The 12,413-nt window shown below is 37.7% G+C and overlaps 2 annotated features.

Moving 5' to 3' along the window:
- Nucleotides 9,860-10,004: an enhancer, noted in NCBI's record as "145 bp 6:32698988 sequence used in MPRA reporter constructs". NCBI's record gives its function as "activates a minimal TATA-containing promoter with rs7751856 allelic activity by MPRAs in C283T melanocytes {active_cell/tissue: C283T}" and the evidence as "EXISTENCE:reporter gene assay evidence [ECO:0000049][PMID:36423637]".
- Nucleotide 9,932: a transcriptional cis regulatory region, noted in NCBI's record as "rs7751856 or 6:32698988 MPRA-significant variant associated with a GWAS melanoma risk locus at 6p21.32". NCBI's record gives its function as "allelic transcriptional activity by MPRAs in C283T melanocytes {active_cell/tissue: C283T}" and the evidence as "EXISTENCE:reporter gene assay evidence [ECO:0000049][PMID:36423637]".

Genomic DNA, 12,413 nt, shown 5'->3' on the forward strand with positions numbered 1-12,413 from the left:
AATACGGCTGTTCTGAGCAGCGTGAGTTCCTGATTGTAGAAGAGGAGGTGGTTTCCTTGGTTGCCCGATTCAGTTCCTTCTATTGTCCTCATGATTCTCTAGGCTATGTTAAGGTCTGTAATAAACTCCTTTCTGCTCAAAATAAACTAAGGTAAATTTTGTTCTCTGTAGCTATTCAATACTCCATGTCTACCACTTGAACAGACAGAATATAAAATCTTTTTGATGGTAACTCAACACCCTCTTCTGTAATAAATAAATAAATTGAGACTTGAACTCCTACTCTAGTTGGCACTATATGTAGGAATATGGATTCTGGGTGTCTGTTTTCAGTGATCATTATTACCTTGATCAGAGAGAGTCCTCAGCATCTTTGCCCTCAAGGCCAAGACATGAAGACCCTCCTCCCAATTGCCCCTGAAATTGATCTTCTTCTTGGGAATTTTTGTTCAGCACACTGAGTCCCAATGGGTAACTGATTGCCTCTTTATTTTTTCATGGAGAACCAGAACAGAATGGAAGACTTGAGCAACATCAAAGAGTTAGCTATATTTGAAATCCATATGAAACTTACATTTTGAGTAATGAATAGGATACCATAGAGAACCCATGTCTTCTTGACATGTTTTCTCTGGTTCATAGAAATTAGATAGTAATTATTTTCTCTTGTTTCTGCTTAAAAAGACCTAAGACAAAGCCTTAGAATAAGAACTTCAATATTGGCAGATCTGGTAGGCTCAAAAACAAAACAAGAACGGCAGCTATAACATCTACTAGCTGTTTATTGTATGTCCCTTCCAATGCAGTAGAGACAGGAAAAGAAGAAGCTATAAAGTTTGAAGAGAATGAAAAGCTATCATTTTTAGCAAATGTTGTAACTATGTACAAAGGAAATACACAAAATAATTTCAAAGGTAGACTATGCAATTGATAAGAGTGTGTAGCGAGATTGTTGATTTGAAGGTCTTGTGTGATAAAGCATTGTATTTCTGTAGAAAATACGATATTGAAGATTTTTTAAATACCATTTTAAATAACATCATTTCATATTCATAAAAGGGAAATGTGGAAAACACAAAAGTTAATACTGAATAATGATGATGGAATTCTGCCTTATGAAAATATTACCACCACTACCACTATATATGTGTTAATGGACAAAAATAGCCAAGAAAATTTTGCAAAGGAAAATCACGAACGAGGAAGAGGGCACCCTAGACATCAAAGTATATTATAAAATAATAATGTGTGATATTGGCACAGGAGTACCAAAACATTCCCAAGAAAGGAGGAAAGATTTCAGAAACAGGTGAATTCCTGAAGCAAAAGTCATCATGTAGTCAACCAGCAAATATTTATTAAGCACCTACTTAATATTTATTTATTAAGCAGTGTTCTAGGTACTTAGAATATTGCTGAACAAAATAGACAAGGTGTCTCTTTTGATTTTATACTCTAAATAAATAGATGAATAAATGATAATGATAGATAATTGTAGATCAATAGATGGACAGAAACCAGAAAAATAAGAGATATGTTTATATTATGATCAATTAAGTGAACAACAAAATGACCAGATACAATAGACAATTTCATTGAATTGATTTATTGGTTCAACTGGCATATTTCATTTCTTCAGTAAACAAGCTGATGCCCATGACATGCCAATAGCTCACAGCTGTTCTTTGGCCTTCCTGTATATTTCTGCTTCCATTAGTTGAGTTTAATGTTTACCAAAAGTTGCTGGCATTTGCTCACAAACCTGTTCATCTCTATTGACTGGTTATTGTAATTATATATTTAAAAAAGTAAATATTTCATTATGAATTAAGTATGAATTTTAAAAGGGAAATTTTAAGTTCTTAAATAAATGCTTTGGAAATAATAAAGATAAGTTGTTTAATAAAATTATTAAATTAGAAATTGGTAAAATAACTTTTAAATGGAGAAAATGGGGTGAAATCTAAAAGGTTTCTAAATTCAGAATTCTTTGTAATGTTTCACTCTAAATTCTCATAAACTTTTTAAAAAACTAAAATTTGATATGATAGAAAGTTTGTTATGGGTGTTGTTTAGGCATTTAAGATAACCTAAAACTCTAAACAACAGACACATTCACCAAGTGAAGCCTTGGTTCTATGTCAACATATTGCCAAACAAATATACATTTGTACATGTATTTACTTAAGTTAAAATAAAATGTTTACCATATTATATATTTAAAAATCATTCTAATTATTCTCAACTGCAACTGACTTTTAAAAATAATTGTTCAACTACCAGGTCTTACAATTAAATATATGGCTTTCACAAATGTGATAACTGATATGAAGAAAATTAATATTTAATAAAGAGTAACTGAGTGGCAACTCCAAATTTGGTCATCAGGAAAATCTTAGGTTATATTTAAGCTGAAACATAAATAACATAAAGAGCTAGAAATAAGATAATGTACGTATAACAATCAGGTAGAGAAATATTCCGGGCAGAAGAAACCACCCTAATGTAGACCAAACCTGAAATGTTAAAAAAAAACAGAAATGAGGTCAGTGGCAGAGATGGCTGGATTTCCACCAAAATTTGTTCACTCCTCCTCCTGCTTAGCAATATTGCTCAGAAATGGCAGTCCAAGTAAGGACTCCACTTTCACGCTTTTTCATCTAGATGGGGTCACATCACTAGTGCTCACCATGAAATGTGACTGAAAGTAAAGTGTGTTGCTGGCACACCAAGGAATTAAGTAATAAGTGTGCCTTCTCCACCCTCTCTCTTTTGCCTTTCATCATTGGAAGCAGAGGGCAGAAAGTCCAGTAAAAGAGCAGAATCACAACATGTGAAGGGCCTGGGTCCCTGAGTCACTATATGGAGAAAAATACCTAGACTATTAGCAATCTGGCAATGGACTGTTATGTGAATAAGAAGAGAATGTCTATTTAGCTAGTACCCTGAAATTTTTATCTTTATTCTGTATAGCAGCTGGTGTTACCCAAACTAATAAAATGAAACAGTTAAAAGGTAGACAGTGAACTCAGTATTATGGGCAAAGAGCAGATCACAGAAGATTTCATTAGCCAGGCAGAAGATTTGATTAGCCAGGTAAGAAATCTAGGTTTAATTCTAGATGCTATAAGAAAACATGTGAGGTGTTTAATCATGATATAGATGTGGTATAGATTAAGTTTTATAAACATTTCTAGCAGTTGTGTGGAAAATGAACTGTAGGAATCAAGAAGGAAGTAGGGTGATGAGGTGGGAGGCTATTTCAACAATTCAGGAGGAAAATGGCAGTATCTTAAAGTCAAGTGGCTACAAAGAAGATGAATAAAATGGACTAAGTTGAGAAGTATTTTATCATTCAATTGATAGAATTCACCAACTGGCTGAATGTGGAATTGAGAATGTGACAAATCAAGGATAATTCCTCCTTCCCCTGATGGCTTTCTGTTATTTCTGTTATTAAATAAAACCAGTGATGTAAACTAAAAAGTGTGGAAGACGCTAAAGGCAAGATACTCCCACACATTTGAAGTTGTAGATAGGTAGGATCTAGTATTTCATAATTGTCCAATCTGATTATTTAAACCTTAAATAGGGGCAGGACTCCAAGAGCTAAGCTGCTATTGACTCCTCACTAGAAAACCTTAATAACAGAGCCTCTTGGGGATCTATACCTGAAAAAGTTCATAACCAAAGAGACTCACATGGACATGACAAATCTCAAATGACATTGATATCTGCCCTAATTTTGCCAACCATATTTTCCTTGATGACTCCCTCCAAAGTAGTCAGTAGTAGCAGACACATGTTGGGGATGGTTTGTGAGGAGTGCCCTATTACATAACTCCAGCTGCTTTTGCATTTGTGTCCTAGTGACTCGTTCTTTCTCCATAAGAGATTACATCCCCATGAAAGAGCAGTGGGCAACAGATTTCACCTAGCCTTTCGAATACCTCATCACATTGGGCAGAAGTGATAGTTGATTGTGGTTTCATTGTGGTTATGTTATTATTTCCACCTGTATTAAAGGTAGATTCGTCTATTATTTCATCATAGTTTGTAGGACCAATGAGAGCCATGTTCAAAGCAGTTAAGGAGAAATTCATATCACCAGAGTTCCTGGAGTTGAAGGTTTTTATAATTTGGAATTTTCTCATTTTAGAATGGGACAAATGAAGCTTCAGTTGTATAAGAACTACACATATTCTACTTAAAGGGTGCATCTTCTGAATTTTTTAATGTGAAAAGGAACAGAGAAACAGAGAGAGAGAGAGAGAGAGACTTCATATATAAAAGCCTTGTATAATAGATTATGATAGTTATTATTTTTATTTCCACTATTATTATTACGTATCCAGCCTTGTTCTTTTTCCACCTTTGTTTAGGAAAAAGAAAATCTGTATTCCTGACACAGAAGTGGGTTCAAATCTAAGGCCTGGCTAATCAGAGTCCCACATCCCATGGCTGAAGTGATTGGTTGAGAAACTGGAATGCCACTCAAGCTAAGCTTTCTTCAAATTATCAAAATGGAGCTGACATGTTTGATCTGTTGCTATTCAGATGATGAGCTGAAAATATGAGATGTCCATCTTCATAGCCATGTAGGAAATGTTTGACTTCCATAGGAAAAAATAAGGGTAATAAATAGGAAAAAAGCTGAACTCAAAGAGACCTACACAGAGAACACAAGCAAGAGACCAAGAAATACATACACACAAAGAGAAACAGACTGAAAGATGCAGGGAAATAAACAACATAAACATAAAACATAGACAAAGAAAAAGACAATGGACGGAAGGAATGACAGGGAAAAAATGGCAGTGAGGCACACAGGCCAGTAGAGAGATGGCAGGGAGGAAAAGAGTTGGACAGAGAGACAACCCAAGAGACAGATAATAAATTATATATGCACACACACACACACACATATATATATACGCACACACATATATATATGTAAGAGAGAGTCACAGAGAGAAAAAGAAACAGCAATTCAGAGAAATGGATATAAGGGAAAATGCAAATCGAAGAAAGACAGAAAACTATCAAATATATTAATGGGGAGGAGGTCTTTCAGACAGAGATAGAAAAGAGATTTGAAGAGAAAGGAAGAGACAAACAGAGAGAAATATAGAGTAGAATGAAACAGAAGTGCACTGAGAGAAGGGAATGAGGGCAGAAGGGGGAGGGAAGGGTCAGAGAGAGAGAGGGAGGGAACTGAAAGAGAAGAGAGAAAAAGGTTTCATTTGTGTCCAGTATCTAAGCATTTTTCAGAAGCTAAATTCACCTAGAAACTTTCTGATTGCATGAACCCCAAAATTAATTTTTCCCCTTAAGATGGTACTAATAGAGTTTCCATTACAAGCAACCAAAATACTACTTTCTAATAAAACCTCCACTGGTAATTATACAATTGGGTAGGTTGGATGGAATCAACAATCATTGTCTTTTGCCCTGAAGAACACATTGTACTCACCAGAAGATATTTGTGGTGCCATTTGGTTAAGTTACGGTATTAGGTACCATGAGTGGTGCAAAACAATTCTACTTACACAAATAAGTGAAACTAATCAGACTATCGCAGAAGTCAGGAAAGACTGCTGCACACAATCCCAACTTCCAAGCCCCACTGATGATGGAAAATTAAATTTATTTCGTATCTCATTTCACTTTCTTATGTAGCATCTGACTTAGACCAAGTATGGCGACTCATGATTTTTGAGTGTCCTTGCCTGGACATTGTCTTCTTTGGGGGTCATAACTGAACTAAAGTTCTAGAATCTGATCCCTTTCTTAGCTCAATGTTTCCCACCAACACCACTACCCTACTCAATCAGAATTAGAAACACAAGTGACTCACAAATCTATTTAATTTTGAAAAACTAATTATTGAATTATAAGAAGTTTGACATTTAGTTCATGATCAGTCTTCAGAAACAGAAGAAGGTAGTAAAAGCTTATGAAAGTATTTATGGTCCAAACAGGGACAGCAGACAGCAGAGAGCAGAGCTCTCATTATCATGGTAGTAAGCAAACATTTAGGAAATTTCTTGCAGGCAGGAATTTAGGAAAGACAAGAACAAGCAACAACCTGGCAGCCACTTCTCAGTCACCGTGGGAGTCATGTCCTGATGGGTGACACAGCTGGCAGAAATGGCTTGCTCACAGGCCTGACAGAAGAGGGGCTGGGAATTACAGACAAAAGTAAAGTCAAGACAAGACAAGAAAGAGGTAACAGATTCCAGAAAGAAAAATGTTTGCAGCCAATGCGTGAGCCCTCTGGGAGACAGAAGAAACAATCACATGATACAACAACCCCTGGAGAAACACAGTCCCTCCCACCCTTGCGGCCTCTCTGCAGTTGTCAGGACACTAAGGCTAAGTTTATGTCAACACCTGCTCCTCGTTACCTTTCCTGGTAACTGAGTAGAGATGGCAACAGGAATGCCTCATTTTATTGTGCTATGTTTTGTTGTGCTTCTCAAATATTGTGGTTTTTTAAAAATTGAAGGGTTGCACCAAGCAAGTCTATCAGCACCATTTCACCAATAGCATGTCCTCACTTTGTGTCTTTGTGTCATATTTTGGTAATTCTTGTAATATTTCACGTTTTCATTACTATTACATGCCGATCTATGATCAGTAATGTTTGATGTTACTGTTGTAATTGTTTTGGGGCACCATGAGCTGAACCCATATAAGACAATGAACTTTATTGTTAGATGTTGTATATGTTTAGACTGCTCCACTGACCAGCCATCCTCCCTCTCTTTCTCCCTCTCCTCAGGCCTCCCTATTCCCTAAGAACACAAGAACATTAAAATTGGCCAATTAGTAACCCTACAATGGCATCTAAGTAAAGTCACTTGTCTCTCACTTTAAATCAAAAGCTAGACATCATTAAGCGTAGTGAAGAAGACATGTCAAAAGCCAAGATGGGCTAAAATCTAGGTCTCTTGCTTTCAACAATTAGTCAAGTTGTGAATGCAAAGGAAAAGGTCTTGAAGGAAAGAAATTAAAAGTGCTACTCAAGTGAACATACAAATGATAAGAAAGTAAAACAGTCTTATTGCTGATGTGGAAAAAGTTTGAGTGATCTGGATAGACCAAACTAGCCACAACATTCCCTTAAGCCAAAGTCTAATCCAGAGAAAGGCCCTCATTCTCTTTAGTTCTATGAAGGCCAAGAGATGTGAGGAAGCTGCAGAAAAAAAGTCTGAATCTAGCAGAGGTTGATTCATGAGGCTTAAGGAAAAAAGCCACCTTCATAATACCAAAGTACAAGATGATGTAGCAAGTGCTGATATAGAAGCTGTAGCAATTTATCCAGAAGATCTAGTTAAGATCACTGATGAAGGTGGCTACATTAAATCATAGATTTTCAATAGAGATGAAACAGCCTTCTATTGGAAGAAGGTGTCTTCTAGGATTTTCAGAGTTAGAGAGAAGTCAATGCTGGCTTCAAAACTTCAAAGATCAGGCTGACTCTCTTGCTAAGGACTAATGCAGCTGGTGGCTTTAGATTGAAGCTAGTGCTAATTTACCATTTCAAAAATACTAGGGCCCTTAAGAATTACACTAAATCTACTCTGCCTGTGCTCTATAAATGAAACAACGAAGCCAGATAAGAGCACAGCTGTTTAAAATATGGTTGGCTGAATATTTTAAGCCTATTGTTGGGACCCATTGCCCAGACAAAAATATTCCTCTCAAAATGCTACTGCTCATTGACAAGGTACCTAGTCATCCAAGAGCTCTGATGGAGATGTACAAGGAGATGAATGTTGTTTTCATGTCTGCTAATGCAACATCCATTCTGCAACTCATGGATCAAGGGGTAATTTTAACTTTCAAGTCTTATTATTTAATACATTATGTAAGGCTATTGCTGTCAGAGACAGTGATTCCTCTGATGGATCTGGGGAAAGCAAATTGAAAGCCTTCTGAAAAGCCTTCACCATTCTAGATGTCATTGGGAACATTCATGATTCATGGGAGAAGGTCGAAATATCAACATTAACAGGAGATTGGGAGAAGCTGATTCCAACCCTCATGAATGACTTTGAGATGTTTAAGACTTCAGTGGAGGAAGGAACTGTAGATGTCATGGAAATAGCAAGAGAACTCAAATTAGAAGTGGAATTGGAAGATGTAACTAAATTGCTGCAATCTTATGATAAAACTTGAATGGATGAGGAACTGTGGCTTATGGATGAGCAAAGAAAGTGGTTTCTTGAGATGGAATCTACCCCTGGTGAAGATGCTGTGAATGTTGTTGAAGTGGCAACAAAGGATTTAGAATATTACATAACTTAGTTGAGAAAGCAGTAGCAGGGTTTGAGAGGATTGACTACAATTTTGAAAGAAGGTCTGCTGTGGGTAAAATGCTATCAAACATCATCACATGCTACAAAAAAATATTTCATGAAAGGAAGAGTCAATCTATGCAGCAAACTTCATTGTTCTTTCATTTTAAGAAATTATCACAGCCACCTCAAACTGCAGCAGCAGCCATCAACATCAAGGAAAGAACCTTCTATCAGCAAAAAGATTATAACTCACTAAAGGCTCAGAGGATTGTTAGTATTTTTAGCCATAAAATATTTTAATTAAGGTATGCACTTTTTTAGACATAATGCCATTTCACACTTAATAGACAACTGTATATTGTAAACATGACTTTTACATGCACTGGGAAACCAAAAGATACGTTTAACTTTCTTGCAGTGCTCTCTGGAACCAAAATCGCAATATATCTGAAGTGCACTTTACTCTGTTAAAGTGAACACAAAACATCAGCTTGAAGGGGCCTGTGGAAGGCAGAAGAGGATGTTGAAATGCTTTGGTGATGCATAGGTCGTGGACTAACTGGAATGGTAACAACTGTAACTGCCTCTCATCTCACCTACCGCCAAGTTCAGCAGCACTCTCTGCAATTTGGGGATATGGGGGCATCATCCAAGCCTCACTGAATGACTGATACCACAGGTTGGATCTTATTCTGAGGAATAATCCCTGAAGTTTAGAGCAGAGACTTTTCAGAATGTTCCAGAATTTTTCCAGAATTTTTTTTCCAGAATATTCCAGAATTTTGTTTCATGCCACATTCATTCAGGAACAGCAAAATAACTGAAGCATGTTCAGGTGTCCAGAAAAACCCACTCAACTCTTTTTTCCACCTTATGTGTGTCATATTTCTGGGCAAGGAGAGCAGGGATCTTATCTGTGACCAGAGCCCTGTCTATTTAAGAATAACCCTCCACCACTCACTTCTGTAATGATGCAGACATGACCCAGGCCAGGGAGCTCTCAGTGTTCCTAATTTCTGTGATCTATTTCCATCCCCACCTTAGCTGCCTTTCCGTTATAGAGTCAGACAGGACGAGTTACAACAAAAAGCCTCGGTCGCAGCACCAGTCTCTCCATCTTCTTCAAAGGTGCCTTACCTTTCTTATTCCAAAAATGGCTGGGCCACAAGGCCCAAACCAAGAGAGATCAGCCCCAGCACAAGACCCCGAAGGCCACTCAGCATCTTCCTCTGGGCAGATTCAGACAGTGTCCCTGGGAAGTGAAAGCCTGTGTGTCAGAGCCTGTCCCCACACCCCACAGTGTCCTCATCTGGAAGCCTGGAGACCTATCCAGGATGTAAGAGACAGAGGTAGTCTGTCACCAAGCAAAGGAGATGACAGGCAGGCAAAGACCCCAAGGGGCAGCATGGATGGATGAGGAGGAGGGGAAAAAGGAGACGACAACTCCTCAAGGATATGTCCTTCTATAACCCCACAGACCATCTCCAAGACATCAGCCCTAAGGTCAAAACCTAGAACTATAACACCTCAGAAGGCGCACCGACAAGGCTGACCTATAGTCTGGGAGTCAGGTGATGCAAAGGGGCCACCATAATAACCTGGGAGAAAAGGAGTTCAGTTCTCAGCAAGTGCATTTTGACTTGAGACAATGGGATCTCAGTCTTCCATGACTACTAGTCCAGAAATTATATGGGGATACTGTTGTGTAGGAGAGAAGATATGAAAATGTATAACAAGCAGAGGTTAGTAGTGATCTCACCCCGACAAGACCCAGACCCCCCGCCACCCTTCCTTTTTTCCATTGAATCTATGATATAAATAAAGTGCTCCTTACGTCATTCTACCGTGATGGGGCTCTGGAGGCTGGGGTGCTCCAGATGGTAGGTGTAGACATCTCCATGCTCGGGTATTATTTCTAGCATTACAAGAATCTGGTAGGTCTAATCCCTATTCTGAATAGGTATGGATACAACTCCAGCAGTCTGCTCCTGTTTTTTCTGGAACCATCTGAGTTTCACTTGGCAAGGAAAGAAATTTGTCACCAAACAGACCAGCAAATTGTGATGGCTGACCTCTGTCTTAGCTGGGGAGATGGTCACTGCAGGCTCCACTAGGAGGAATGACAACAGGAAAAGAAACTTAGAGGGTAAGGCAGCAAAGAAATCCTCATCATGGGCTTACATCCTTCCTTTGATACTAAAGTGGAGAAGATAGCAGATATTAATTAGTCTTCTACTCCAATCCCAGATCTAGGTTTTAATTAGCTAACTTGTTAGCCTACTCTTTAGAAAAGAAATATTTTTATTCAGTGGTCACTTGTTTATTAAACCAGATCATTCATGTGAAAGCTCTTCGTAACATAGACTGATAATATTTCAAATATGCGTAAATACATATATGTGTAGGTATATGTACTTGCCTTCTTATGTCTGGTAAAAATAATAATTAAAAAAGGTCTGACAATGTGTAACTATGTGTGATTTTTTATAAAACAAAGATCTTCATGTTTAAATAAATCTTTAGCTCCATTATTCACAGGTTGTAGGGAAAACTGGCTAGCCATATGCAGAAAACTGAAACTGGACCCCTTCCTTACACCTTATACAAAAAATTTTTGACTTTTCTATTTCTCCTTTCATTTCTATCGGCTTTTGTCTCATGTATTTCGAAGCTCTGTTTTTAGGTGCATACACACTTAAGATTGTTTTGTGTCTTTGGAGAAATAACCCCTTATCATTAAATAATATCCCTCTTTATCCCTGGTAATATTCCTTGTTCTGACATCTACTTTGTCTAGATGACATAATTATCTCATTGTGGTTTTGATTTGCATTTCTCTAATGACCAGTGATGATGAGCTTTTTTTCATATGTTTGTTAGCCACATAAATGTCTTCCTTTTGAGAAGTGTCTGTTCATATATTTTCACCACTTTTTGATGGGGTTGTTTTTTTTCTTGTAAATTTGTTTAAATTCCTTGTAGATTCTGGATATTAACCCTTTGTCAAATGGATAGATTGCAAAATTTTTCTCCCATTCTGTAGGTTGCCTATTCACTCTGATGATAGTTTCTTTTGCTGTGCAGAAGATCTTTAGTCTAATTAGATCCCATTTGTCAATTTTGGCTTCTGTTGCCATTGTTTTTGATGTTGTAATCATGAAGTCTTTGCCCATGCCTATATCCTGACTGGTATTGCCTAGGTTTTCTTCTAGGGTTTTTATGGTTTTAGGTTTTATGTGTAAGTCTTTAATCCATCTTGAGTTAATTTTTGGATGAGGAGGAGGAGAAAAAGGGGCGGCAACTCCTCAGGAGTATGTCTTTCTATAACCCCACAGACTACCTCCAAGACATCAGCCCTAAGGTCAAAGCCCAGAACTTTAACACCTCAGAAGGCACACTGACAAGTCTGACCTGCAGCCTGGGAGTCAGGTGATGCAAAGGGGTCACCATAAAAACCTGGGAGAAAAGGAGGTCAGTTCTCAGTAAGTCCTTTTGACTTAAGAAAGTGGTCCAATTTCAGTTTCTGCATATGGCTAGCCAGTTTTCCCAACACCATTTATTAAATAGGGAATCCTTTCCCCATTGCTTGTTTTTGTCAGGTTTGTCAAAGATCAGATGGTTGTAGATGTGTGGCGTTATTTCTGGGGCCTCTGTTATGTTCCATTGGTCTATATATCTGTTTTGGTGCCAGTACCATGCTGTTTTGGTTATTGCAGCCTTGTAATATAGTTCAAATTCAGATAACGTGATGCCTCCAGATTTGTTATTTTTGCTTAGGATTGTCTTGGCTATACGGGCTCTTTTTTTGGTTCCATGTGAAATTTAAAGAAGTTTTTTCTAATTCTGTGAAGAAAGTCAGTGGTAGCTTGATGAGGATAGCATTGAATCTGTAAATTACTTTGGCCAGTATGGCCATTATCACAATACTGATTCTTCCTATCCATGAGCATGGAATATTTTTCCATTTGTTTGTGTCCTCTCTTATTTCCTTGAGCAGTGGTTTGTAGTTCCCCTTGAAGAGGTCCTTCACATCCCTTGTAAGTTGTATTCCTAGGTATTTTATTCTCTTTCTAGCAATTATGAATGGGAGTTCACTCATGATTTGGT

Source organism: Homo sapiens, chromosome 6 (genome assembly GCF_000001405.40).
Source record: "Homo sapiens chromosome 6, GRCh38.p14 Primary Assembly".
Lineage (NCBI taxonomy): Eukaryota > Metazoa > Chordata > Mammalia > Primates > Hominidae > Homo > Homo sapiens.